Source organism: Homo sapiens, chromosome 2 (genome assembly GCF_000001405.40).
Source record: "Homo sapiens chromosome 2, GRCh38.p14 Primary Assembly".
Classification (NCBI taxonomy): domain Eukaryota; kingdom Metazoa; phylum Chordata; class Mammalia; order Primates; family Hominidae; genus Homo; species Homo sapiens.
Window position 1 is genome coordinate 86,012,621 of NC_000002.12, and position 27,983 is coordinate 86,040,603.

The 27,983-nt window shown below is 51.7% G+C and overlaps 1 protein-coding gene across 1 annotated transcript in view, besides 5 other annotated features; it reads right to left on the reverse strand.

Moving 5' to 3' along the window:
- The window catches only part of POLR1A (RNA polymerase I subunit A), an 85,671-nt gene continuing 65,283 nt past the window's right edge, over nucleotides 7,596-27,983 (reverse strand). The window contains exons 25-34 of the mRNA NM_015425.6: nucleotides 27,772-27,939; nucleotides 26,707-26,842; nucleotides 26,080-26,237; nucleotides 21,041-21,167; nucleotides 19,652-19,762; nucleotides 18,710-19,015; nucleotides 17,576-17,776; nucleotides 15,974-16,091; nucleotides 15,265-15,429; nucleotides 7,596-14,903 (exon numbers count right to left, since the gene is read on the reverse strand). Of these exons, the coding sequence (NP_056240.2) occupies nucleotides 14,803-14,903; nucleotides 15,265-15,429; nucleotides 15,974-16,091; nucleotides 17,576-17,776; nucleotides 18,710-19,015; nucleotides 19,652-19,762; nucleotides 21,041-21,167; nucleotides 26,080-26,237; nucleotides 26,707-26,842; nucleotides 27,772-27,939 (1,591 nt within the window). The 3' untranslated portion in view covers nucleotides 7,596-14,802. The remainder of the gene's footprint in view (nucleotides 14,904-15,264; nucleotides 15,430-15,973; nucleotides 16,092-17,575; nucleotides 17,777-18,709; nucleotides 19,016-19,651; nucleotides 19,763-21,040; nucleotides 21,168-26,079; nucleotides 26,238-26,706; nucleotides 26,843-27,771; nucleotides 27,940-27,983) is intronic.
- Nucleotides 10,496-10,555: an enhancer, noted in NCBI's record as "active region_16150". NCBI's record gives its function as "activates an Ori minimal core promoter by ATAC-STARR-seq in GM12878 lymphoblastoid cells {active_cell/tissue: GM12878}" and the evidence as "EXISTENCE:reporter gene assay evidence [ECO:0000049][PMID:35858748]".
- Nucleotides 21,101-21,304: a silencer, noted in NCBI's record as "fragment chr2:86260844-86261047 (GRCh37/hg19 assembly coordinates)". NCBI's record gives its function as "represses an EF-1alpha promoter that drives an FKBP-Casp9 reporter gene in an ReSE screen in HepG2 liver carcinoma cells {active_cell/tissue: HepG2}" and the evidence as "EXISTENCE:reporter gene assay evidence [ECO:0000049][PMID:32094911]".
- Nucleotides 23,299-23,358: an enhancer, noted in NCBI's record as "active region_16151". NCBI's record gives its function as "activates an Ori minimal core promoter by ATAC-STARR-seq in GM12878 lymphoblastoid cells {active_cell/tissue: GM12878}" and the evidence as "EXISTENCE:reporter gene assay evidence [ECO:0000049][PMID:35858748]".
- Nucleotides 24,029-24,078: a silencer, noted in NCBI's record as "silent region_11710". NCBI's record gives its function as "represses an Ori minimal core promoter by ATAC-STARR-seq in GM12878 lymphoblastoid cells {active_cell/tissue: GM12878}" and the evidence as "EXISTENCE:reporter gene assay evidence [ECO:0000049][PMID:35858748]".
- Nucleotides 26,707-26,837: an enhancer, noted in NCBI's record as "conserved acetylation island sequence 34". NCBI's record gives its function as "activates a minimal heat-shock promoter by reporter assays in Jurkat T cells {active_cell/tissue: Jurkat}" and the evidence as "EXISTENCE:reporter gene assay evidence [ECO:0000049][PMID:17135569]".

Genomic DNA, 27,983 nt, shown 5'->3' on the forward strand with positions numbered 1-27,983 from the left:
CACATGAGCTGCATTCTAACAGCTAGTGTATGTCCTTTTTATTCTCAAAAAAATTTTTTTACTGTAGTGAAATACACATAATATAAAAATGACCATCTTAACTATTTTTAGCTGTACAGTTCAGTAGCATTAAGTACATTCACATTGCTGTGCAACTCTCACCACCATCCATCTCCATAACCCTTTTCCTCTTGTAAAACTGAAATTCTATACCCATGAAACACTAACTCCCCATTTCCCCTTCTCCCAGGCCCTGGCAACCAGCATTCTGCTTTCCATCTTTATGGTTTTAACGATGCTAAGTACTTCAGTCTTGAATACTTTTCTCCATTCCCCACAGCACCCCGCTCCCCAGTCGCAGACACCCTTGCCTGCTCTTGATTTGCCTGTGACATTGCAGTGGTTAACATGGGCCCCCTTGCCTCCAGTCAGAAGGCAAATCAATCCCTTCCCTGCTCTAGCAGGATTGGAAGTCACTGAACCTATTTGCTTCTCATTCAAAGTGATGGCAGCCAGAGGGTGGTGTGGCAGTGCTGGGATGGGTGGGGTGCAGGCAGTGGAGATGGCAGGAAGGACAAAAGCCTCAGCTGTTCTAGGGGACAGTGGCAGGAAGAGCCGCCTGTGATCCAGACAGACCCCAGTATAGGCATCTGCGCAGCATCTCTAAGACAGATGCAGCATATCCCACACAGGAGGAGGAAAGAGAAGGGTGAACCCTTCACGAGAGACTTTCAATTGTCTCTGATGGCTCATCCCTACCTCACAGCCTGCTGTGATGCTTAGAGTTCTCTAGGCAGCCATCCCTAATTGAGTATAATGGACTGAATGTCTGTGTCCCCCCTCAAATTCATATGTTGAAGCCCTAACCCTCAGTGTGGATGTATTTGGAGATGGGGCCTCTAAGGAAGTAATTAAGGTTAAATGAAGTCCTAGGGTGGGGTCTTGATCCAATAGGATTAATGTCCTTCTAAGAAGAAACATCAGAGTGTGCCAGCATGTGCTCGTGCTCTCTCTCCTCTCTTCTCTCTCTGCCTCTGTCTGTCTCTCTCTGTCTCCTTGTGGAGGAATGAGGAAGGGCCATGTGAACACACAGCAAGATGGCAGCTTCCTATAAGCCAAAGAAAGAGACCTCAGAATAAAACCTACCTTGCGGGCATTTTGATCTCGGACTTCTGGCTGCAGACTGTGAGAAATAAATTTCTGTTGTTTAAGCCACCCAGTCTGTGGTATTTTGTTACAGCAACCCAAACTGGCTGAGACATCGAATCATCATGAAGCCACGGGGCAAAGGCATGGGAGTATTAACAGGCATAGCTTGTATCAGAAACGGGGAGTAGCATGGTGTGTCCAGAGGCCATGGCATTTAGAGAGGGGTGTAACTAGAGATGGAATCAGAGAGCTAGAGCCTCTATATCATCTATGGCAATGCAGGCCATGCCAGGGCCTTGGGACTTACCCTAAGAGCACTGAGGAATGATCTTCACATTTGCATTTAGAAAGAGCTATCTGACTGCTCTGTGCAGGCTTGATCAGTAGAAGTGGGGAGGAGCAGTGGAAAGGGTGGGGATGAAGGGGCAAGAGATCAAGAGGCAGCTGTTCCATGGATCAACCATAGGGTAGATGTGGGCCATGGGAAGGGATGGGCCTGGTCACCAATTAGCTGCAGATGAAGAGGCAGTTTCTGGCCTGGATGATGATGAGTTGCACAAATAGTTCTCCCCTTGACAGAGACGTGATTGACTCCCAAGCCTGGGCAGGTCCCAGGTTCCAAACAGAACAGAAGTCCCTGAATCTTATTTCTACCACATTCAGTTGGTCAAAGCTAGTCACAGGCCAGCCCAGATTCAGTGCTGGTGGGGCCTACCTGACGGTGTGAATACAAGGAGGCTCAAGTCGCTGGGATCATTTCATAACACCCCACCACCACATCCAAGTTCCAGACAGGAAGAAAGGGAAAAACAAAGCCAAAGGCCAGAAGCACTTGCCACCTAGCTAGGCCTATCCTTTTGAACAAGCTTTCCCCGAAGTCTCATTCAGTGCCTTCCTCTGGTCCAGAGAAAGAAATGGGTCACATGACTATCCCTAGCTGCAAGGGAGTCTGGGAAACAGTATTTTAACCTGAGCACACTGACACCACCAATAAAATCCAAATTCTCAGTAAGGAAGAAGGAGAGGATAGATCTAGAGGAAGCAACTAGCAGGGCCTGCTTCAGAGGCCATGGAAGAGTTGGGGGGAACCACCACCACTAAGTGCTTTTATGGGAGAGAAGCCATGCTCAGCATGCACCAAATTATGAGAAAATGGAGAGGCTGGTTCATTAGGTCTGGGGTGGGGTCCAAGGTGTGCATCTCCAACATGCTCCCAGGGCTGCTGATCCTGGCAGTAGGAAGATCACACTTGGAGTGGCCCTAAACTGGGTTATACTGGGGTCACAAGCAACCCCACATGTCAGAGGTTTAAATAGCTGAGGTTTGTTCCTTACTCATGCAGCCTGTGCACTGTGAGTTGGCTGGGGCTTTGCGCCTGGGAGCCAGGTGGCCAGAGCATCTACCATCTGGAGCAGCACTGGTGACCAGGCCAGAGGGAAAGAAGTCATTCATGGCAAAGAATTAAGCAACTCTTAGAAGTCATTCAAGTCAAATGGCCATGCCCAACATCTGGCAGGGAGGGGAAGCCGGTACTGGTGAACCATACTACAGACTATGACAGCTTCACAGAAGAGATGGGATTTAAGCAGAGGGGTCTTTGAAGGATAAATAGGAGCTTACTCTGTAGAGAAGGGGCCAGAACATTCGAGGCTGAGGGAACATCATAAATAACTATAACACCAATGTTGAGCACCTGTCGTGTACCAGAAGCATTCAAATCGTTTCCTGACTGGTCTTCATGAGAACACTGAGATATTATTAGTCCATTTTATAGAAGAGGAGGCTGGGGGTCTGAGATCAGCTGGCCACTTGCTGAAGGTCACAGGGCCAGAAAGTGGGGCCCAGGAAATCAAACCCAGTGTCCTGGCCCTTCCCTCCCCTGCCACAGTGGAGTCATGGAGCCTCGTGACTGTGTGGAGTGTTTGCAGAATAATCTGTGTGATGCTCTTTCTCTGGAAATGGCCCCAACACCCAAAGGGTTTTTTGGGGGTGGATGGGGAATTATTAAGGGGTTGCAATATTTTTTTATTGTGGTAAAATACACACAATGTAAAAGTTATCATTTTCATCATTTTTAAGTGGCATCATTTTAAGTTCAGTGGCATTCAGTACATTCACATTATTGTGCAACCATCATCGCCATCCATCTCCAGAACTTTTTCATCTTTCATAATTGAAACTGCCTCCATTAAACATTAGTTGCCTATTCCCTCCTCACCCCAACTCCTGGCAACCACAATTCTAATTTCTGTCTTTAAGAATTGGAGTGTTCTAAGTACCTTATATACATGAAATCATATAGTATTTGTCCTTTTGTGTCTGACTTTTTATCTTAGAGTAATGTCCTCAAGGTTTACCCATGTTGTAGCGTGTGTCAGAATTTCATTCCTTTTTGTGGCTGAATAAGGTTCCATTGGATGTATATACAGTATTTTGTTTATTTATGCATCGGTCCATGGATACTTAGGTTGTTTCTACCATTTTGGCTATCGTCAATAATGCTGCTATGAGTGAACAAATATCTGTTTGAGTCCCTGCTTTGGGTCCTTTTGTGTATAGACCCAAAAATGGGATTCCTGGTTCTAGAGGAGTTTTTCTGTTTGTTTTGTTTTTTTAGACAAAGTCTCACTCTGTTGCCCAGGCTGGAGTACAGTGGCACAATCTCTGCTCACTGCTACCTCCACCTCCCAGGTTCAAGTGATTCTCCTGCCTCAGCCTCCCAAGTAGCTGGGATTACAGGCGCGTGTTACCATGTCCAGCTAATTTTTGTATTTTTATTAGAGATGGGGTTTCACCATGTTGGCCAGCCTGGTCTCAAACTCCTGACCTGTGATCCGCCCTCCTCGGCCTCCCAAAGTGCTGGGATTACAGGTGGGAGCCACCGCGCCTGGCAGGAGTTTTAAACATACAAGACAAAGGTGCCTGTGGGCTTCGTTGGGGTCTGGGAAAATGCTGCGCAGGAGCACTGCAGGAGGATGCCAGGCCCTAGGATGTCCTAGTTCATCTCCCTTCAGCTGGCTCTGGGGAGGAGGATCTGTGGGAGCCCCGCATCCCATCCAAGATACACAAAACTTCTCTGCCAGTTGTTTAACTGCTTCACAGGCACAGACCTTGTCCCCAAGGAGTCGGAATGTTCTCACGGGAAAACAGTCGATAACACACCCGAGTCTTCCTTTCCTTCATCTATAAAACAGAGGTGCTGGTGTCGCCCGCCTGCCTCACAGACAGTTGTGAAGTTTGAATGAACTAATGCCTGCAAAGGATGCAGAGAGAAGCTGGAGGCTCATTCTGCACCTGCTGCTGCTGTAGGCCTGCCACGCCCAGCCCGCTTGCGGGTCAAACTGGGGCGCTGACAGGAGCTGCTGTCTGCAGAGGCTGGGGGCCTCTGGGGCTATTTCCACAAACCCAGGAGAGTTCTGGGGCTGAAACAGCTAAAAAGAGGGCAGACCAGAGGTAAGATGGCTTCCTCATGACAGTTCTAGGGCCGAGGTTCTCAAACTGGAGCATGAGTGAAAATCCCCCTGATAGTGTTCAAACTCAGATAACAGCCTCCACCCTGCAGTTTCTGACTCGGGAGTCTGGGGTGCGGCCTGATAATTTGCATTGTAACAACTCCTCCTCCTCCGGCTCCTCTTCCTCTTCCTCCTTCTCTTCTTCTTTTTTTGAGACAGACTCTCGCTCTGTCACCCAGGCTGGGGTGCAGTGTCACGATCTCATGATCTCAGCTCACTGCAACCTCTGCCTCCTGCGTTCAAGCAATTTTCCTGCCTCAGCCTCCCAAGTAGCTGGGATTACAGGCACCCACCACCACGCCCAGCTAATTTTTGTATCTTTAGTAGAGACAGGGTTTCACCACATTGGCCTTCTGGTCTCGAACTCCTGACCTCAAGTGATCTGCCTGCCTCGGCCTCCCAAAGTGCTGGGATTATAGGTGTGAGCCCCCGCACCTGGCCTGCATTCTAACACATTCTTAGGGGCTGCCGTTGCTGCTTACCTGGGGACTTCACTGTGAGAACCACTGCTCTAGAAAATGAAGGAGAAAAAGATGTTCATTTTTGAGGACCGTGGACACATGGATTCCCTCCTCCTTCTCTTTTTTCCCTTTCCTTCCTTCTTTGTCCAATATTTAATTGAGCATTAAAATTGGGACTACAGAGAAAAAAAAAAGACAGAGTCTTGGCCTATAACAGAGAGTCTAGAGCTGGGCTGGCCAGATGGTCGCCGGCTGCCCAGGGACCCAGCCTGCTGTGACCGGACGCGGAGGAATCCCAATGAGTCAGCCTGCAGGTGGAAGGGAAACACCGTGTCCCAGGCCAGGGGCCAGGGCAGCTTGCCAGGTCCTGTGAGAGCCCAGGCAGAGCCCGGGCAGCCCTGTCCCTGGGGTTGGGTGGTCCCCAGGCGGCAGGACGCTGGGTGAGGAGCCGGTTTGTGGAAGAGCACCTGCGACAGGGCTGTGCCCGCCCAGGCCAGGCCTTCAGAGGCCACGATGGAAGGTGGATGAGAAGTACAGTGAGCAGGACAGACATCCTATGGGCAGTGGAATGGCCTTGGCTCAAGTTGTTCCATTTCCCCTTTTCAATACTCTGCCCCCCATGCTGAGCCCCGCAGGCTACCTTCCCATGGATCCACCCTCCAGGCTTCTGTAGCCTTCCATTCCCTCCCTCACCGACCTGGCTTTCATTCCTCAGGGGCCTCCTATTTTCAAAGGAGAGAACTAGCCACTTTGATCAGCACGACCTAGGAGATGTCACCCTACACCAGTCAGAACCCGAGGACGATGCCAGAGGTGCCCCACGCAAAGGCACATCTCCAAGAGGGGCAGCAGACCTGGCCTCCCCTTCACCACTAGATCCATTTCTTCAACTGTGAAATGGGGCCAACAGGACATGTGTCGCCGGGCTGTGGGGATTTGATGAGATGATATCACAAAGAGGTTCTTTGTAACTGGTACAGTCCATAGCCAGGTCCTCTCCGCAGGAAAGCCCCAAGGCTGGAAGATCCCTTTGGGTTAACCCACCACTATTTCCTCAAACTCTTCAATATTGACTTGTGCTTTGATTTGGGCCATCACTTGGGAGTCTCAGTTCCTTAAGGTGACTGCTTGTTATTCATTTGCTCTAATTTCATCTCTTGTGAGCTGCCAGCTCCCCAACTAGATAAACTGCAGACCCCACCCCCTAGTAGTCTCGTCTGTACCTCCTAGAGACATACCTTAGAAGAGGTGTTCTGGGGCCTGGAGAGGCATTTGGTGCCCTCACATCTACCTGCCATACCACATGCAGGGCAGCCTTTAACAAAGTCCAATCCTCAGGGTCTGTCCAAGCAAAGGGGGTGGACACAGAGAGGAGATTAAGGACCCAGACTCTGGAGACACCTGCTTGGCTTCAAATTCCTGTTCCACGACTTGATGACTATGTCTTTGGGTGAGTTACTGTAAGACGAGGAGAGTCACCATACTCCCTCACTGGGTGGTTGTGAGGAGTGGATGGATGAACAGGTATAAAAGACTGGGGCCAGCCTGCACCTGGTGAGCTCCAGGTCAAAGTGAGCCCCTGCATTTGTAAGCGAGCCAAGCAGAAGCCACGAATGACGGCAGGGCTGCTTCATGTTGCTCCTGATTTCTGGTAATTTTCTGCTCTTACCACAGTCCCCTCCAGCACAACTGGACATGCTGCTGTAAGTGTAGTCTTCTTATCCATCACAATAGGTAATTTGCCTTTTTAAAAAATTTTATTTTTGAGACAGAGTCTGGCTCTGTCACCCGGGCTGGAGTGCAATGGCACAATTTTGGCTCACTGCAACCTCCACCTCCCAGGTTCAAGTGATTCTCGTGCCTCAGCTTCCCAAGTAGCTGGGACCACAGGCGTGTGCCACCATGCCTGGCTAATTTTTTGTATTTTTAGTAGAGACAGGGTTTTGCCATATTGGCCAGGCTGGTCTCAAACTCCTGGCCTCAAGTGATTCTCCTGCCTCGGCCTCCCAAAGTGCTGAGATTATAGGCATGAGCCACCATGCCCAGCTGTGCTTTTTCAATCAATCTATGTACCTTAGAAAAGGTTGCAGTGAGCCGAGATTGTGTCACTGCACTCCAGCCTAGGCGACAGAGAGAGATTCCATCTCAAAAAACAAAACAAAACAAAACAAAAACAAAACAAACAAAAAAAACTGCTCCAGAAGCCCTAGCCAAAGTCTAAAGGCGGCCACTGGCCTGGGTGGCCAAGAGCTAACATCTTTACTCAAGGTTTTACACAATGCAGGGACTGTGCTGAATTCTTTACCTGGCTTGGGAGAAAAATGTTTAGCACAGTGACAAAAGGTTATCTATATCTATAGTAAATACAATTCTTTAAAATTGACAAAAGCAATACCAATAACCCAATAGAAAAATGGGCAAAGGATACAAATAGGCAGTTCTCAGAAGTGCAAATCAGAATAACCAATAAACATGTGAAAAGATGCTTAGATTTATTAATAGAGAATTGCAAACTGAAGTACAAATGAGGCTGGGCATAGTGGCTTACACCTGTAATCCCAGCACTTTGGAAGGTGAAGGCAGCAGATCGTGTGAGCTCAGGAGTTTGAGCCTGGGCAACATGGTGAAACCCCGTCTCTACAAAAAAATTAAAAAATTAGCTGGGCATGGTGTTGTGTGCCTGTAGTCCCAGTTACTTGGAAGGCTGCGGTGGGAGGGTTGCTTGGTCCTGGGACTTCGAGGCTGCTGTGAGCCGTGATTGCAACCCTGCACTCCAGCCTGGGCAACAGAGTGAGACCCCGTCTCAAAAAAAAAAAAAAAAAAAAAAAGATGCCACTGCTTCATCTATCAGAATGGCTAAAATGTAAATGATTCCACTTTGTAAAATAAACAATGTTAACCCGCATCTATGTGTATGTGGCAGGGTTTCCTCAACCTCGGCATTATTGATATTTGGGGCTGGACAATTCTTTGCTGTGGAGACTGTCCTGTGGACTGTAGTTTAGCAGCATCTCTAGCCTCCACTCCCTAGATGCCAGTAGCACCTCCCTCCAGTAGCAACAAAAAATGTCCGCAGACACTGCTGAATGTCCCCTGGGGGGCAAATTGCCCCAAGTTGAGAACCACTTAGTGTATAGGTAAACATGTATAGTTGTGTGCAATTTAATGAACACAATTAATTTTACCACCATTTTACATAAAAGGAAACTGAAGTGCATTTCTTAGGGTCCCACTGTAAGTTGAGGGCTTGAGATTCCAAGAAAAGTCTTATTTCAGAGCTCAGTGTCTTGCCCAAAACGCAGCCTCACTGCTCAATCACATTCTTGAGGTTTGATTGGCTGAACGCACGTGGAACATCAGGTTCATGTTTCCAAGCAAGAATCATGGGTTGGGGAAGGCAAGTGTTTACTGTGGTCCAGCTGAGGACTGTGGTGTCTGAAACTTTGTCACATGGGAGGCTACAGGCCCGGGGCTGGCTTGGCTCCCGTGAAAACACTGCAGCGGGCAGCCAGTCCGGAAGGCAGCATCTGGCAGGGCCTCCAGGCCTTCTGAGTAAGGAAGACCCCAGCTTGCAAAAGACATAGAGGCAGCACTGTGACTGGAACTGAATAGCCACACCTATATCACCCATATTCAAGGGCAAAGGGCCAGCAGCCAGGGTGGAAGTGGGGGCAGGAGGTGGGGAGGGGATGGCTGGACTCCTGATTCTTTTTCAGTTTCCCTCCCTTCTGGCTGTTGAACACCCAAGTACCTCCCCACTGTCCTCTCCACTCTGTCCTTCCTACAAAGCACCCTCTAGAGTGCAGCCAGCTGGGCAAGGCATGGTCCTATAGGGGACAGTGTGCATGTGCATATGAAGCCTGCTGGGTACCTCAACCTTTGGCCTGATCATGAAGACGGTGAACTGGCTTGTTTGGGGCAGAAGACTACAAGTTCTGTGAGGGCAGGGCCCACATAGCTTGTGCATCTTAGGGTGCCTGGGACACAGTGGAGATCAAGGTTGGATGGATGCAGCATGGGGGAGGGAATGGTGAGGATGGGCATGGTCAGGTATCTGTCGGCTGGGACAAACCTCCCAGGCCATTGAGTCCAACTTGCGCGAAGATAGTCACTGGGGAGCTGCAGTGACACCTGAGCCTGTGAATAAACCAGGTCCTATCAGGGGGCAGTGTGCACATGCACATGAAGCCTGCTGGGTACCTCAACCCAGGCAGTTACCCAGGTACCCTGCCGGGTAACTCAGAGTTGAGTTAAACCCTGCTCCTTGATGACCACTCGTGGTAGGACAGCGATGCTGCTTAAAGAACTTAAGGAACGAATCTGATTAAATAATTATGATTTAGCATTTTAAGTGGAAACCTCTCATGGAGCTGCTTGTAGGAAACGCTGGCTGGCTGAGTTCCCTCCTTCTGCCCCTGCTGGACAAATGGCCTCGCTTGCTGTGCTGGGCTGGCAGAGCTGCAGGCCTCCAGGTTTCTGCTGGAAGCATCATCCCTTTCTTCTTTCAGGCTTTGTTGAGCCCCAGGTGGAGCTGATGGTGGCATCCTTTGGACCCCACTGTAAAGTCCTTGCAGACATCTGTCATGGCACGATGACAGCTTTACTGCACGTGCACTCACTTGAGGGCAGAGATCAGATCTTAAGATCCTACTGCAGAAACCTAGGGCCAGTGACTCCTTGAGATGTCATCGTACCGATAGGTGGTGACGGTGGCTGTGCATTTCCACAATTTAGGGCTTTTTCTGTCCGTGGCTCTCAATTCCGCTGCACCTTAGACTCTCTTGAAGATTTTCTAATGCCTAGGCCACACTCCAGGCCAATAAAATCAGAATCTGGGCAAGGCCTTGGGATCAATCTTTTTTTCAGACGGGGTCTCACTCTTGTCACCCGAGCTGGAGTGCAGTGGTGCGATCACAGCTCATTGCAGCCTTGAACTCCTGGGCTCACTTGCTCCTCTCACCTCAGCCTCTTGAGTAGCTGGGACCACAGGCACATGTCACAACACCTGGCTAATTTTTGTAGATACGGGGTCTCACTGGGTTGCCCAGGCTAGTCTCAAACTCCTAAGCTCAAGTGATCCTCCTGCCTGAGTCTCTTAAAGTGCTGGGACTGTAAGCGTGAGCCACTGTGCCCGGCCAGAATCAATCTTTTTTTTTTTCCTAAGACGGAGTCTCACTCTGTTGCCCAGGCTGGAGTGACATAATCTCGGCTCACTGCAACCTCCAACTCCCCGGTTCAAGTGATTCTCCTGCCTCAGCCTCCTGAGTAGCTGGGTGAAACCCCATCTCTACTAAAAATACAGAATCGATCTTTTTAAAAAGCTCCCTAAGTGTTTCTAAGGTCCAAAACTGAGAGCCTCTAAGTGGACTTTGGACGGAAGTGGGGTGGAGGTTGATGGTGTAGGAACTTTGGAATTTTTGACTGTAGCTATTTTGGTGGTTGTAATTGAAGTAAAACTGCACCAGGGTCAGGAGACCTGCGGTAGGCCCAGCAACTCTGTGACCTATCTAAACTACACAACCTCAAGGGCAGGCTGTGGTACGGGGCTGCCCCACTGAGCCATCTGCAGAGGTGGTATCACTCAACGATGAAAGACTCAACGAACCAGCCTTTAACGACCAGTCTTTTCTATTTCAAGAGCAGTCTGGACTCTGACAGCCCCTGATTCAGGTGCAAACTAAAAATTTTAAGATTGGCAAGCAACAGACACTCCTTAAGTGGTTCCTAACTCTCCCCAGGTGCAGAACACTTAAGGGTCCCAACATCTGATTGAAACACAGCCCACACCAAACCACGAGATGGCACCTCATACACATTAGGGTGGCTACTATTAACAAGAACAAGGATGTGGAGAAATTGAAATTGTTGTACACCGTTGGTGGGAACATAAAATGGTGTAGCTGCTGTGGAAAATGGGACAGCAGTTCCCCCAGAAAAATTAAAGAATTACCATATGATCCAGCAATTCCACTTCTAGTATATATTCAAAGGAAAGCAGGGTCTGAGTTTTTGTTTTTTTTTTTTTTTGAGACGGAATCTCACTCTGTCACCCAGGCTGGAGTGCAGTGGCGCAATCTCGGCTCACTGCAACCTCCACCTCCTGAGTTCAAGATTCTCCTGCCTCAGCCTCCCGAGTAGCTGGGATTATAGGCGCGCACCACCACACCCAGCTAATTTTTGTATTTTTAGTAGAGATGGGGTTTTGCCATGTTGGCCAGGGTGGTCTCGAATCCTGACCTCAGATGATCTGCCCGCCTCGGCCTCCCAACGTATTGGGATTACAGGTGTGAACGCCTGGCCTGGCCTCAGATATCTGTATATCCATGTTCACAGCGTTATTTGCAACAGCCAAGAGGTGGAGGCAACCCAAGTGTCCACCAACAGATGAGTGATTAAACAAAATACGGTATATACACATGAGGAGGTATCAGCAGCCTCAAGCAAGAAGGCAATTCTGACACATGCTACAGCATGGATGAACCTTGAGGACATTATGCTAAGTGAAATAAGCCGGTCACAAAAAGACATGCTGTACTTTTCCACTTGTATGAGGGACCTAGAGAAGTCAAATTCGTAGAGACAGAACGTAGAACAGTGGTTGCCAGGGGCTGGGGAGGTGGAAGGAATAGGGAGTTAGTGCTCAATGGATACAGACATTTGTACATATTATTTGGGGGTAGGGCAAAGTGAAGAGAAAAGAAGGTTCAAGTTCCAGACTGGGGATGAGACAAGGTGCTTCACCCCTTCCTCGGTTTTATTCTTACTCAATGCAGGATAGAAAATGTTTCAAAGACTCACAGGAATATCTGTGGGAATGCTGATAGTGTTTCTGGTGAGAACCCAAAAAAGAGACACTAAAAAAAATTAACTGGCCAGGCACGGTGGCTCACACCACCCAGCACTTTGGGAGGCCACAGTGGGAGGACCGCTTGAGCCTAGGAGTTTGAAACCAGCCTGAGCAATAAACCAAAACCCGTCTCTACAAAACAAATAAAAAAACTGTTAGAAGCAAGCAAGTAGGTATGGATATCACCCCAAAGGGCAAGGTGAGAAGGATGTCCAAACAGTGGCTAGCTAATGGCATCTGAGGATTCTGAAAGAACTCATAGCTCTGGCCGGCACAGTAGCTCACGCCTGTAAACCCAGCACTTTGGGAGGCTGAGGCAGGCGGATCACCTGAGATTAGGAGTTCGAGACTAGCCTGGCCAACATGGTGAAACCCCATCTCTACTAAAAATACAAAAATTAGCCAGGCGTGGTGGCGCATGCCTGTAATCTCAGCTACTCGGGAGGCTGAGGCAGGAGAATCGCTTGAACTCGGGAGATGGAGGTTGCAGTGGAGCCGAGATTGCGCCATTGCACTCAGCCTGGGTAACAAGTGCAAAAGTGCATCTCAAAAAAAGAACTCACAGCTCTCATGAAAAGTTTGTGAACCCCACCAGATGATCAATCTCCATTACATTTTGATTAAAAATGACAACGCAGATTAGTCCATGTTCTTGAATCCATCCATCAGATTTGACTTGGGCCTACTTTCCAAAACTCAAATGCATCCTCAATGGGCACTTACAGTCCTAAGAAGACTCCAAAGCCTCTGCCATCTTAAGCTGCCAAGGCCACTCTCAGAGGCTTCCGAGCATAGAGAACCACCAAAGTGAGCGTGTAATTCCCTAAGGCCACCACAGTGAGTCCCTGCTCATCAGGATGTGCAAGCTCCCAAATGTCTGTTTAAAAACCAGACATGCTGTCTTAATACTCATCCATCAGGAAAGACACAGGAATAAAACAGAGCTGCCCAGGAACCATGTGGATGGGTGGGGCAGGAGGGCATCCCTCACATCCCAACACAGGTCGGGGGTCTGATCTAAGTGCGATGGTCACAGCCCTGCCAATATGCAGGGCTTGCTCCTTCGCCTCTGCGCCCTCAGTGCCTGGGAGAGATGGAATCCACGGACCCTGTGCCACAGTCACCAGGTTACTTTGTGATCTCCTTCAAGGACACTCTCACAATTCTAGTGTGTGTAGAAATCATCAAGTGAATATGGCCTTTAACTCAAAGAATGAATGTCTTACCCTGCAGGCTGGGCCCTTCCTGCCTGCCTCAAAACTGTCATATTCCTCTGTGCCCATGCCTTGGTGAACCTGGCAGACCCCGTTAGGAGGTACTGATTTCTGTCAGGCTTTCCCCAGTGTAGGCCTAGGAGGTGCAGGCTGGGTCCTATTGCATGGATGTAGGGAGCAACATGGTCACTCTCCCTTGACAAAGCCTCCCTTGATCCCCAACCCTACCCCTAAGGTCACAGCAGCAGCCTCCCCACCCCAGACCAAGGCTAGCACAGCTTCTGCATAAAGGCTTCTCCCCTCTGCTTCTCCTGGCCACAGGGCCAGCAGCTAGCTCTGGAAGGAGGTCACAGCAGAGGCAGGCCAGGGGCAGAGGTGGAGGAGGCTGCAGAGGCTGAGCTCTTCCCCCTAAGGCCTCAGACAAGAAAGCACAGGAAGAGGGACCCAAGACCTGACTGTGCCAAGAAAATCCCCGCCCTGGGTTCTCAAATCCAAATGCAGAAACTGCAAACCAAGGGAAAAAATTGTTGTAAAAAAAACCAAGTTTTTTTTCTTTCCTAATAGCTAGTTCCAATGATGTTAATTACCCGCCCTGAGCTGAAATAACAGTAGACAAAGATAGAAGCTAGCCTCTGGTTTTACAAAGCCTTTGTATAAGTCCTCTCTGTCTTTTCTGTCCATGCCAGGGAAATGTATTGCTGGTGCTAGAGGGAGAGGAAACGTGGACGGCCAAGAACAGGGCGGCACAGTCCTCTGGGCTGGAGGCCTGTGTTCCTTCCCATAAGCAGGGCCTGTGGGGTGTATGGGGCAGAACATAGGCCTCCACACCAAACTGACAGCAGAGAAAAGCCAGGCAACCTGTTCAATCGCCCCAGCAGTGACCTGGGTTCTATGTGTGGGAGTGAACTGCTGCGGCCCTGGAGCGACTGCTCCCAGCCTTGGGGCTGATGTGGTCTAGAAGGACACCTCGCCACACAGTGGCAGGGCCAGGACCCTGGCCAGGCAGAGAGGTTGGGTGGGTGGAGGACTATGCTACGCTGTACTTGACTCAGGGAAGAAGTCTTGATGGGGACTCTTTGTGGACTCTGCCCCCAGGGGCTGGAGCAGCCGGAAGGAGCAGGCCTTGGGCAGCAGGCTCCACGTTCCTGCTCATCGGGAGCCCCCAGGAATCTTGTCTGTTGTCCCTGGCCACTCACAGCAAAAGAACCCCGCTTCCCTACTCTGGAGGTGCCTGGGGTCCCCAGCAGCAAAGCATGGCTTCCCCTTGGTCTTCTCAGTGAATCGTGAATCAGGACTTCTCCTTAGGGGTTATGCCACAGAGGCCTCCTGCAGCACAGGTGAGGCCCCAGCCATCTCAGGGGGACTCAGAAGACTTGGTAAACCTTGATAAAAATCCAGAGACAGGGAGGGGCAAGGATGAGCAACTCTGTCACTTTCCAGGTGAAGCTGGCCCAGCTCAGAGGCCCACTGCTTTCAGGCCCAAGGTCGCTGCTGTGCTCTGTACTGTCACTTGGAACTGCCCTGGATTCCAGTCTCCTGGTCCTCTCATGCAGAAGGCAGGCTGGGCCACGCCCTCACCAAGGGTCCTTGGAGCTGGGCAGATGGTGCCGGGGTAGCTGCTATCTCAGAGGCTGCTTGAGCTCGAACAGGCCTGTCCCGCCCCTGACGACCTTCCCGACCACAAGGCAGGCAGAAGGAGACCTCAGCTCATCGTGGGATCCTGACAGAGACACAAAAACATGTGTCAGGGTGTTGAGGTAGAAGTTGGGAATGTCATGAGGTGATTATGGGGCTGAACACTGAAGTCTCGGGACTCAGGTGGGTCCTGAGTCTCTGAAGCTGATGGGATCACGAGGCAGCCCCCCTCTAGCACTTGAGAGGGGAAGGCCCTCTTCCTGTTCCTTCAAAGCGTAGAGGCAGCTGTCGTGTCTGCTGTTCAGCCCCCTCCAGCCGCCCCCGCTCCCCTCAGATCCCAAGATCCCACTGGTGTGCAAGGAACCATGGAAAGATGCCCATGGGTGAGCCCGTGTGCCCAGAGTCGTCAGTAGAGGGGAGGCCAGGGCTCCTGCCCACGCACTAACCCAGCATGGTGGCTTGCTTCAGAAACTGGAAGCTGGTTTCAAATGTCATCTGCTGTAGCGGGGAAGAGTTTGACCGGATCCCAAAGCGATTCAGTGGCTTGTAAACACCCTCGAAGCACATATAATCAGCAACCAGGGAGAGATGGCGAGGGTCGACCGCGATGCCTGTCAAACGGGAGGTAAAATTAGGAGGGATTAAGCAGTGACCACGGGAGCAGTCAGCAGACACAAGCCAAGCTGCCTCCACATCAGCACATGGCTTGGGAGTTAGACTCTGGGGCTCCCCTTCAGCTCCGCCACCTGCTCACGCTACTTAACCCTTCCCCGTGGTCTGGGGCATCTTTCCCTGACCCCTGCATCCTGCTTCCCGCTTCCTTCCAGCAGCACAGGAAATGAGGATCTAACCGCACTGTTTTCACTTGGGAACTGAAACCCCAAAGGCAGGATGGGGCCAAGTTATCAATCAGGAGCTTTCTCTAAGGCACCAGCAGATGAGACACCACTGAAGCGGTCTCAGTGATGGGAGACGTCACCTCTTCACAGATCTGCAGTCTCCTACAGGTGCACTCACTGCACGCATGCTGCAGTGCCTGCCTTAGTGCTGGACTGACTCGGTGCTGGACCGACACGGTCCTGACCCTCCTGCCGAGCCTTCTGGTGTCCTGGCTGGTGCCCAGACCTCGGGGTGTTATCTGCAAGCTCCCCTTACCATACACGGCAAACACATCCTTGATCTCCTTCTCGATCACCCGCAGCGCGGCCTCAATGCCATACGTGTTGGCTATGGCGTGGATGTCGTTGGAGTAGAGGCGGCGCAGATCCAGGACCTGGAGAGAGGAAGGAAGGGATTTATTTAGAGGGCCTGGCCTTCTGCTCCCTTCTGCCTGCGTATCTCCCCCTGGCCGCTCTCTCTCTCCTTGTGTCTGGCAGCTCGGTACAGCTGATGACAAAGTGGTCAAGAGGTGGCCCAGGATTAGCAGAAGGAAATGGCTAGGCAGAGCTGCTGACGGCTCGCTGGCCGGGGCCCAAGGTCTGTATCGTCATTACAAGAATCCAGCGTGTCCACTTTGGACACGCTTTAGATTCAATGGGAAGAAAAGGATTTTTTCTTCTTATTTTTAAACTGAGACCTGTTTACTAGGATTAAGGCTTCCCTTAGGAAGCAAGGAAAGTTCCCCTAGCAGCGACACATTACACACCCCTCCAGGGTGCATGGAGTGGGGGCCAGTCAGCCGCACAGGCATGTGCTGGGCCTTACCAAGGGGCCAAGGTGCGGCTGAGCTGTCTTGGAGGAGCCTCTCACCCTGCACTCTTGGCAGGTGCCAATCCTCCTTGCTCATCCTCTGGGAAGTGTTTGGTAAAAGGGTTCAGGGGAGCAGGAGACTTTGCAGGGTGGTCATTGGTGGGGGCAGAAGTGTACGTGGCAGGGGGAGCTTTGCCAGCTTAGCATAGACTTGTTGGGGGGTTAGGCTAGAGGGCCCCAGTTCCTCAGTGTTCTGTGGGGGAAACCCAGAAAGTTCTGGGAGAGTTGGTGAAGTGGGAGTACTTGGAGACACAGCTCAAAGGACAGATGAGCTGGTGAGCAGGTGGGACAGGAATGCCAGGGCACCTCTACCCCTGGGACCCCCTTTACCAGATAAAGCAAACAGCATCTAGGCAGGTGATGCAGCAATGATTTCTCACAACTCTACTTCGGGAGGGTCTTAATTTCTTTCTTTTTTTTTTTTTTTGAGATGGAGTCTCACTCTGTCCCCCAGGCTGGAGTGCAGCGGCGCAATCTTGGTTTACTGCAAGCTCCGCCTCCTGGGTTATCGCCATTCTCCTGCCTCAGCCTCCCAAGTAGCTGGGACTACAGGCACCCGTCACCATGCCCGGCTATTTTTTTTTTGTATTTTTTAGTAGAGAAGGGGTTTCACCGTGTTAGCCAGGATGGTCTTGATCTCCTGACCTCGTGATCCGCCTGCCTTGGCCTCCCAAAGTGCTGGGATTACAGGTGTGAACCACCACGCCCGGCCCGAGGGTCTTAATTTCAAGGAAAAAACTCTACTCAAATTAACCCGGGCGACTCTGGGTTGGATAAGTTCAGCAGGGTGCTTTACTGGGGACCTGAATGAGGCTAACGTGCCCCAGAATCCCCGGGAGGCAGACGAGGACACGCACACTTGGTTTGGGGAATGTGGCCTGGAAGCACAAATGGCTCAGGAAGGGCCAGAGTAAATCGCGTAGAGCGAGCCTCCCAGTGGCTGGGTCTTGAGACAACGTGGGGTGAGGACTAATGCTTTGTCCCAGGCCAGCAGACAGCCTGTCTTACCTCTGCATACTTGAATAGCTCTGGGAGGTTGATTCCTTCTGTGTTTAGCACAAGCTCCTTCTCGTTCTTATTGTTGGTTGTTTCATTCAGGAGGCACCGAGTGATGCCCTTGGTCGCATAGATGACGGCACCATGGGCCAAAGATACTACCAGGGAGCTCATGTCAAAGTTGATCTTCATCAGAGGGAGCTTCACTGTCACCTGCAAAAGGAGGGAGAGCTGGGTAGGGTGACAGCTACTCCAGTCCCCACAAAGAGGACTGAGGCGAGACTCCTTCAAAACCTTTTCAGGAACTCCCTGGCTGGGGGAAAGTGGTCCTGCTGGGCAAGCCAGCAGGTAGTCTGAACATTGGAGATGGCTGAACTGTGTACAGGTCAGCCATCTCCAGTCCCCCAGATTCAGGGGGAAACAGTGGGGTTGTTTTCACAGCTGTCGGTGACAACATTGAGATTCACATCCACTCTGCACTGCTCTTAATGTCCTTAAAGACCACAAGGCAGGGTACACGTTGTTTCACGCGTGCAATCCCATCAGTGGTTCTTGTTATTACCCCATCACTTGGGAACCACTGAACTGGATCAAAGGAAAGACAAAGCGTAAGTGTGTGCACATGTCTAGGCATCCAGATCATCCAGGCTTTAAGGGAACCATGAAATCCCTAAAAAGATGGTGGCAGGGGCTGTGTGTGTGGGGAACTGAAGTGTCCCTGCCTGAGGGCACGAACAGTGTCTCTACAACACGTGTGGTCCATGGTAACATATCTGTTGTACTGAAGATTAAAGGAGGTGGTGTATTTGAAAGTACCTAAAGGGCCTGGTAGATCAGTCTTGTGTGTCTTGAAAGATCGGGGAGAACTGGCTTACTAGGGGTTTGAAAATGACACGTGTGGGCCCTTTTTCGGGGCAGAGGGTTTATAGCCATCACCAGATTCCTAAAGGGATCTGGGATTAAAAAGAACAAATGACTCTCGCAGGCCCCAAACAGGAGGCCTGGCTGTGCTCTGAGTGGGAGACCATGGGGAATGTTGGCTGCCCCCTGCCCAGCTGTGCAGGGGAGCTCAGCAGGCCCCTTCCACAGAGGGATTTGGCCAGCTGGACCAACCACCCAAGCCCTGGCCTGCACGGCCACACTGACCTGGCACCACAGGCTCTCCTCGGTGTCGTACTGGTAGTCATCTATGAACGGGTGGATCTCACGCACAGCCTGGACCCGGCGCTCCATGGCCTCGGGCCCCTGGGGCTCCTGGCTGTGGGTGGGTTTCCGGGGCTGCGTCAGGAGGGCGGGAAGGGACGGGTCCTCCTCAGTGCCTAAGCCCACCTCTTCATCTTGCTCTTGGGTCTTTCGAGCACCTTCCCTGTGGGGATTTCGTTCCTCCTGCATGTCTTCATCGTCGTTCTCCTCGCCCTCCCTCTCCTCCTCTTCCTCACTCTCATAATCAACCTGGCAGAAAAGGGAGCACAGGCTGTGTCACTTGGGGACCCACCATCTACCTGGACTCTGCCTGTGGAACAAAGACCCCTGCAAAGCCTTGGCTGGCCTGGGCTACCTAGGCCCCACCTGCTCCACACTCCCGGCTCCTCTGCTCCGGCCTGGTTGGTCTTTCTTCTTCCTTTTGCCTTGAGAATGCCACCTCTCTGTCCCCCTGAGCCCCTCACAGAGGTGGAGCTCACCCTCACTCAGCCCTCACTGGTGTACCTGCTCACCGGTAAGTTCCCTCGGCCATTATGACAGCAGGAGACTGGTTTGTGGGAGGAGAGAGAGGTATATTTTCATTGTAAAAACCAGAGGCAGCCTGACTTTTTCTTGCCAGAAGCCTGTCTGGATCCTTGAGTCCGATTTAAGTCCAGGGATGGCCACATCTAAAAGGCAGCCCTGGAGTGGACCTGTGCCAAATTCCCACCCTATGAACCCCATCTTCTCAAGAGAGAGGTATGCTGGGCAGGCAGGTGCTGCTTCAGGGTTCCTTGTGGGTTCATGACACAGAGGTGTGGCCTGGGTGCCGGGAGATAATCCCTCCAGGTTAACAGGGAAGGGGGCTGGGACCACAGCTCCTTCACCCCACACAGGGTCTCTCACCTCCTCCTCCTGCTTCTCCTTGCGTTTGGCATCAGAGGCATCGGCGTCCCCCTCCTCAGCTTCAGCATCCACAATGTGCCCCTCCTCTTCCTCATCACCCTCCTGCTCTCCCTGTGGTTTGTGGGCAAGGAAGAAAAAGATTAACTCCAATATCTAGTGCTCAGTGAATCCATCCATCCACCCACCAACCCATCCATCCATCCATGCCCCACCCTTCTAACCCCTTCTCCCATCCAGCCACCACCCTCCATCCACTGCCACCCAACCCAACCCGTCTACTGGCATCTACTCTGTCCAGTCCCAGAACCCAGGCCTCCTTCCCTTCAGTCTTCATCTTTACATGCACCACTTACTTGCAAAGTTTCATTCCCAAAAATTAAAAAAAAAAGTGCCAGGACTTGCTTTCTTAGAAGAAGATGGTGTCAAATATTGTTCCAAATATTTTTGATCAAACCCAGTTGCAGGTGGGGATGAGAAGGAAGGGTTATCTTGTAGAATACTGAGTATCTCTTCCTTTCTCCTCCTGAACTTGGCTCCTAGTTTTTTATACTCTCCTTCTGGGTGAATTAAGAATCAAGACCAGGCAGCATTCTAAAGATAGTCCACACCCGCTTGTGCTTGAGTGAGCTAGCAGGTGAACTCACGGAGCAGGAGAGACCTAGCATTTTCCCTGGTGTAGGCCAGCCCCTCATTTTAGGGGTGAGAAGACAGACCCAGAGAAGGGTGACACAACTGAGACCACAGAGCTGGTTGGGGGTAGTCCCAGTCCACATCATCCCCAACCCAAGCAGGCTGGCTGCTGGCTCAGATGGCACCCAGGGACCTGCTCCCACACCACCCTCAGGTCTGGCCTGCTCCTGGGTCTCCTGGCAGATATCTGATTATTTATTCCTGGACTATTTTGCTCCTACTGGTTTTTTCCCTCTTCCCCTTTTTGTCACTGCAGCCCAACTTCTCTGCTTCCAGATACCTCTCTGGTCCCTGCCAGTGCCCTGGTGGGCCTCAGTTCATCTTGCCTGGGCAAGTCGAAGGCAGAGCCAAAGGAAACCGGAAAAAGAACTTTCAAAGGCTCAGCGCACGCCATGACCTCGAGTCCCTCCTCAGGATGAAGACCACTTACAGCGGGCTCTTGGAGAGCAGAGCTATGATGCGGAGGCCTGCCCCGGGGCTGGCTACACCATGCTGCCTGGCAGCCTCGCTTGCCTGGCCCATCAGGCCAAGAAGTGAATGCTGCTTCTGGGCTCTCAGAACAGCAGGTAAAAGCTGAGATAGGTAGGAGATGGGCCAGCACCAGGATGGGGCTGGAGGAGCACAGAGAATAGGCACAGAGCCTGCCCAGTCTGGGGGCTGTCCCTGTGCAACTCTAGTGACCCCCGGGGACTCACTCACCCGACTCCTCCCCAACTCCCCAGCGTTGTCCAGATCCCGCTGTGTAGCTCTTCGAGTGTTTACGTTCCTGAAAGCTGATGCTTTATTATTCTTCTTTTTGATGGATTCCATCAGAAGTTTAAAGAATCTAAAACAAGAAGAAAGCCAAAAAGCCCTGTGCAGTACCAGCATGTCCAGCCCTACCCTCATTTGGGGGATAGGACGCTGAGGGATTCCCACAGGGGATCAGTGCACGAGATGGAGGCCCAGCCTCTCCTAGCCACTCACTTGTCCCTACCCGCTGTTTTGGAACCGTCTCTGGCGTATCAGGAACACCGGTTCCACAGTCCAACAGGCCTGGTCTCAATAGGTGCACTGCCACTCCCGGGGTATGAGTAGGACAGGCAGCTTCCTCAGCTTTAAGCCCCATTGTCTAGAAAATATGGGAATTACTACGTATTCTGCAATCTTGTTTGCTAATGATGAGAAACAACCCTATGTCTGATTCCTCTCACAGCGCCTGGCAGAGTGCGTGCTTGGTGAAGGACAGTTGTAGGTGCCGCTGTGGTCGTCCTCTAACAAGGAAGGCAGAATCTACTGTAGGAGAGGGGAACCCCACCCAGGACTAGGACCTTCCCCTGCCCACAACCTGCAGCATCTCCAGAAGGTGGTGTTGCTCTGGCCAGAGAACTCCCTTGGTGTGGGAGCCCCGGCAATGTGACGAAAGAACGAGGACTTCGGAAGGGCTCATCAAAATTTCGAAGGGCAGAGATAACTTAGCTTGTGGCAATGAATCGTGTCAACAAGTTAGAACCACACCAATTTAAAAGAACCAACCTGAAGCTCAGAACCTGGCCCCCTGCCACTTCCTCCAGAGCCATCTATTTTTAGGGCCTCTTAGGATCCACCCTGTCCCCTCCATACCACTTCTTTCCTCATGTAACCCCCTGCCTGTCTTTTCCAACAGGCCAGAATAGCACACCAAAAAGGGCTGCTTGTGACTGTGAGAATCGGGTCCCTCACACATCCAGCCAGCCGTCCCACTTTCTCTGAGCGCCTATACTGTGCCCAGCATGTGCCAGCCCTGGTGGCAAAGCAAGGACGAAAAGACAGACTCCAGGCCCTCAAGGAGCTTAGAGTCTTCATTTGAAAAAGTAGGCAGGTCAAATGTATACTATTTTGCTCATTAAAAACAAAAGAATGCCACTCATCTTCCCTAATATTATTATTATTAGTTCCCCCCACCGTCCCGAGATGGAGTCTCTCTATCCCCCAGGCTGGAGTGCAGTGGTGCGACCTCGGCTCACTGCAACCTCCGCCTCCCGGATTCAAACGATTCTCATGCCTCAGCCTTCTGAGTAGCTGGGATTACAGGCATGCACCACCATGCCCGACTAATTTTTCTATTTTTAGTAGAAACGGGGTTTCACCATGTTGGCCAGGCTGATTGTGGACTCCTGACCTCAGGTGATCCACCTGCCTTGGCCTCCCAAAGTGCTGGAATTACAAGGGTAAGCCACTGCACCCAGACCCCAATATTATTTTTTAACTTTTTAAAGGTGTACGTGGTTTGCCCTTGGCAGAAAAAAAAGCCCCCTCATCCATTAATCCAGAGAAGAGCTTGTTTACCAGGCACTGGGGACAGGAACAGGATAGCCAGATGAGAGAAGGCCGGGCTTGACTTTAGAAAGATACAATCCCACTGGAAAGAGGGGGTGGGAGAGATGTTTCTGTAAGGACAGGTTCAGGTTAAAGTCCTGACCTGCCACAGACTGGAGAGGAGGGCCTTGATCTCATCTGCAACATGGGATCACTCTCACTCTGCACCCGAGGCTACTGTGCAGAGCAGAGGAGATGGAATGAGGCGGAGTGGGGGTGCGGGGCTCAGCTGCTGCCACACACAGGGCTGCTTCCCTCAGCTGGGCGCCCCAGCCTGTCTCAACTTGTGGCAATGTCACGGCTCTGATGCTTTTGCCCCCAGCATTTCACATCTGGCCTCAACTCTAACTGCCCATCTGCTCCCTCCACCCTGTGCACCCTTTGGGCCTTTGCTTGAGCGGCTCACTCTGCCAGTAACTTCCCTGGCCAATATCTACCTACTGAAGCTGTACTCATCCTTCAAGGCCAGGCCTCAGCAGCTGTAACTCCTCCAAGAAGCCCTCCCTGATTCCCCCAGTTGGGGATGCCTTCTGCCTTCCCTGCCTCTTTTGGTGACCAGGACTTGTGGAGAACGTAGGAGGGAAGGAGGTGAGAAGGCAGAATGAATGGCTGGTGAGTAAGTGGTAGGCATGTGACCAGTGTGCCAGTTTTCCTGGAGGTGCAATTTGCCCTTCTATGGTTTTGCCAAGAGCAGGGGAACTAACGGCCCACAGTGACTGCCTTCTCAAGGTTGTGCAGCTCACCTGAATGTAGCAACAGAAAGGGAACAGGAGGGGCAGGGGCAGAGAAGCCTCCCGTCCCACGTAAATAATTACAAACAGAGCACATGACCCCTGGCGGTTTCTGAACGCGCCTGGCAACAGCTCCACCACCTGCTGTTTGGAAAGTCAGATTCACAGAAGCTACAATTACAGACTGTCAGCTGGGTCTTTTCATGGCTGGGGACCGGAGGCCAAAACTTACAGCCCCTAACTCCTAGCTCAGTGCTCTTTCCACTTCATCTCCCCTGCCACCTGCCAGACAATTTACACAAACAGCCCATGTGATGGGTGCCAGTGCAGAGATCTGGGGGGCCTTCTACGCTTGTATATCTCTACCTAGGGAACCATCTGTCTCGTGCTGTTTTTCTCCAGGCTCTGTCAAGGGTCTCATGACTCCACAGCTGGGAGAAGGGAGGGTGGGGGCAAAGAGAAAGAAAAAGAGGGTGGCAGAGAGGAAGGAAGGGGGAGGGATGGGAGAAAGGAAGGAGAAAAAGCTTCTTGGGGGTTGGCTGCTCTTTTGAAAGTGCACTCACACTTCCTCCCATTTCCTGTGGGCGGCCAGAGGCCTGAACACAGCTGCTCTGCTGCCTGGGGCCTGACAAAGGGAGTCCAGACCGCACCCAGCTCATCCACTGCCCCATCTTTTAGCTCTGCCTAACCCCTCAGCCCCATTCTGCTGAGTCCTTGAGGCCACCTCCACCAAAAGCTACTGCGCATGGCTTTATTTATCACAGATTTTCAAGTTCACAAGCAAAACACAGGGAGGAGTTGAAAAAGTACTTCACGGCTGGGAACAAGCCAGGGCTGTCCCTCATCAGGAAGAAGTCTTAAAAAGTGATTTCCTATTTTCAATTCCATGAGGTAATATAAGTAAAAAGAACCCCAGCATGGGCTGGCGCCAGCCTCATGCCGACCTACCTGCTGGGCTGGCCTGGGCCTCCTGTGAACAGAACTGGGGCAAAACATCTAACTCCGTCCACCCTTAGTTATTCTCTAGAGGCCATGAAATCTGAATTCCCATTTCCCAGAAAACCACTGCCAGGCCAGCACAAACGCCCCCTGCACTTGGTAGTTATGTTCCTCGCTGTTAATTAAGGAGCTGGCAGGCGGGTGCACACAGCACTCCCCTGCCACTCTGCCCAGTGCCCAGATAGCACAGAGGACCACTCGACAGAAGGAATGTTCTCAGCCCAGGCTGGCACCAACGCAGGTGCTCCTGAGGCCCAGCCAACAACAACTTCACCCAGGGCTCGTGAACTGGGGCAGGAAGCACCTGGCCAGTGACCCCCGTCCAAAGGACTGAGTTCACATCCAAGCTCCTCCACCCCAAGACCCACCATCCCAAATGCCACCTGCACAGAGGGCTGGCTCGAGGCCAGGCCCCATAAGGTGAGAGGGCAGAGGGCTGAGGGCAGAAAAGTCGTACTGTGTTGCCCACGCCTGCCCCCGTGACTCAGCGACGAATGGGCATGGCTCAGTATGTGTTTGTGGGATGGCTGAGTGCAGGGAGCTTTCTGCTTCTGCTCTGTCATTGCTTCTCTATCTGAGCAGCTCCCAGAAGACCAAGAACTGGTCTAGATTAGAGGCAGTGGTCAGTGGCCTGTGGCCAGATCCTGCAACAGATGAGAACCATCTGGGCCTTACTGGGCTTTTAAAAACACATGAATTAGTTGCTGATGTTTAAAAGTCAGGAGACCTCAATTATATAAAAGCAAAGGCAAGTAAACAAGTGACCCAAGAAAGAAAAAAACGTAGGGGGTGGGAAGCTTGTTTTCTTTCTTTTTAAATCAAAAGATGTGGCCCCCCGGGCCTCCATTCCTGCATAGTAACAGGTGCCCCTTGAGACAGGTTCCACACTCTTCAGTCTGCCGGGGGCCTCCAAGCCTGCTTCACTGGCCTGTCACCTGCTGGGCTATGCAGCCTTTTTGTGTTCACACTTCACCGTCTAGGGTTAGCTGGTGAGTCAAAAATGCTTCGTGGGCTCTTCCAGTCTTGCCCCAGTCCCCAAAAAGCCCATCCTCCTGCTCCCCGGAACTCAGCATTGTGGCCTCTGCTTTTCAAATATCTAACAGTAACTTGAACTTGAGACAAAAGTTCCTTTTCCCTACTGGACAGGAACTCGGGACAGGAACTCGAATTTCTCTGGAGGCAATCCTGGTTATAGAATGGAGATCTAACAGCAGCGTGCCACCCGCACATTGTTCATTATTCACAGAATCTAAATGCATCAGGAACCACATTATACTGCCTGCAGTAACACCCTAGCAAACATTAACAGCATGTGCTGCTCCGACACCACAGAAGCACCGCTTTGATGGTGCTCCCTTCTCTTTACCACACCCACATTTCCATGTCTTAATGCCTGCAAGCCCCAGAAGACAACAATCCTGACGTCAACCCAAGAGAAGAAATGGGCTCAGGGAGTGACGTGTGGCTAAGAAAGTCATACCCACAAGCCAGACTGTGGTCAGGTTTCCAGATCAGGCTGCAAGGCCCTCTGCTTCCTAAACACTTCCCTTGAAGGGCTCATTTGGGCAAAGGCACTCAATCTCTAGGAGCCTTGTGGCTAGGTGCTTCCTGCCCCAGTTCAAGCGCATTCTCTGGGTCAAGGTCAATGACAATCACAGCCTGAGCCCTGACCTTGTTTCCATGAAGCGCAGGATGTCCTCGGGTCTCAGGCACTTCTCCTGCTGGTAATATGCATGTGGCAGGAACTGAAACCGCAGCTGGTACACCTGGAATTTGTTCTGTTTTTCTTCCATACAGAAGGACTCCTGGACGTCAATTTTCTGCAACACCTGGAACCAGACGGACAGAGAGAACTTGACTTGTTCAGGTCCTAGGTGACTGCGCAATGTGAGTGGGTTACGAGACCCAAGGGTTTACAGAGATAGCAGCTGAGACCACAGGCCAAACCCCAAAGAAACCCTGGTGAGCTATACTGGTGTGGATCTGCTGGGGGGCCCACAGCCTGCAGTCACCTCCAGAGAGTGGCCTGAACCTCCTAGGAGTGGCCTCAGCAGAGCGGGTAGGCAAACTCAGGAAATGGTTTATTTTTCAGGCACAGGAGGATGCTGTGGAACTAATGACTCTCTTAAAAGCTTCCTGATCCATCTCTGCTCAGCACCTGGCAGAGACAGCTTATCTCTCATTGGTGGGAATCTGAGCCTAGGGTCAGAGCAGTAAGCAAAGCCTGTTCTTCACACATGGGGAGGATATAGGAACATGCCTTCACCCCGTCTGCAACCTGGGAAGGAGAGACGTTACCTCCCCCAAGCACACCCTGGTGAGTTGCTTCTTCAGGCTTTTCACTCTCTTCAGGGCTTTCTTGGTGTTGAGCACGGGCACGCTCATCATGGGTGTCTTGATGTTGGCGCTGGCCACCATGAGAATCTCCCGCAACCTGTCACAGAATAAGGGCACATCCAATCATGAGTGGCAACCAGACCTTCTGTTTGGGTGCAGCTTCTCCTAATGATGTCAGAGTTCTTTTGGAATCTGAGAGAGGCCTGGGGATCTCACAGGGATAATATGCTAGATCAGAGAATCCCAGCTCTGGCCTCGTGTGCAACAGTAAGGGACTCCCCTGTCAGTTTCCTCCCTGGAGGGCCCACTCCTTGTGCTCAGGGCTTTGTCTGATTCTTGTTTCCTATCACCTGTGCCTTGCAAACAACAGGTGCCTGCTGACGCTTACTGAATGAACAAGCGATGCAGGGAAGGCAACTAGCACCCACAGTGCTCCTGCTGAGCTCAGCCAGCCCTCACTGCCTGGATGTATAGTGGGTCCCAGCCTCTGGCCTTCCACAGAAGGACCCCCTGAGGTTTGGAAAGTGAGGTACCTGTCCAGAGTCTTTCTGCTAGAAAAAGGCAGGGCCAGGGACTGAATGCAGATGGGTCTGACCCCACACTCATTCCCCTTGTCCAGCACATATATTTACCTGAAGGGCCAGGGCCCAGGGCCACGTGGGGGCACGTTCTATGTGAATGGCTCCCCTGGAGTTGGGCAACCAGGCACCTTGTGTGGGGCTTGTTAACAATGTACGTTCCTGAGTCCTTCCCCCAGCAGTGTGCAGTCTCACAGGCATCCCCAGGAACGTGGATGCAGGAGTTGGCAGAGGAATAAATGGAGATCCTACCAGGCCTGGGCACCAAAGAAACCAGCTGGGCTCTGGAAATTCTAACCCTGATCCCCACTTTAATGAGACCCTGTCCCTCTCTCACACAGACACACTCTCTCATTCACACACACTCACTCACCCCCTCTCATTAAATGGCCCCTTCTCCAGGAGAGGCTAGGACAGACCCCACCCTGTGCTCCCTTGTGCCCCACACCTTGGAATGCCCAGGGTGACGTTCATCTCGCCTCTGCCTGCAAAGTGGAAGGTGTTGAGGGTCATCTGGGTGGAGGGCTCTCCGATGCTCTGGGCAGCCAGCAGGCCCACAGCCTCGCCCGGCTCACACAGTGAGCGCTGCCACTTCAGCTGCAGCAAGGTCCTCAACCTAGAGACGGTGGTGGGGGGTCAGGGTGGGGGTTGTGGCAGGGG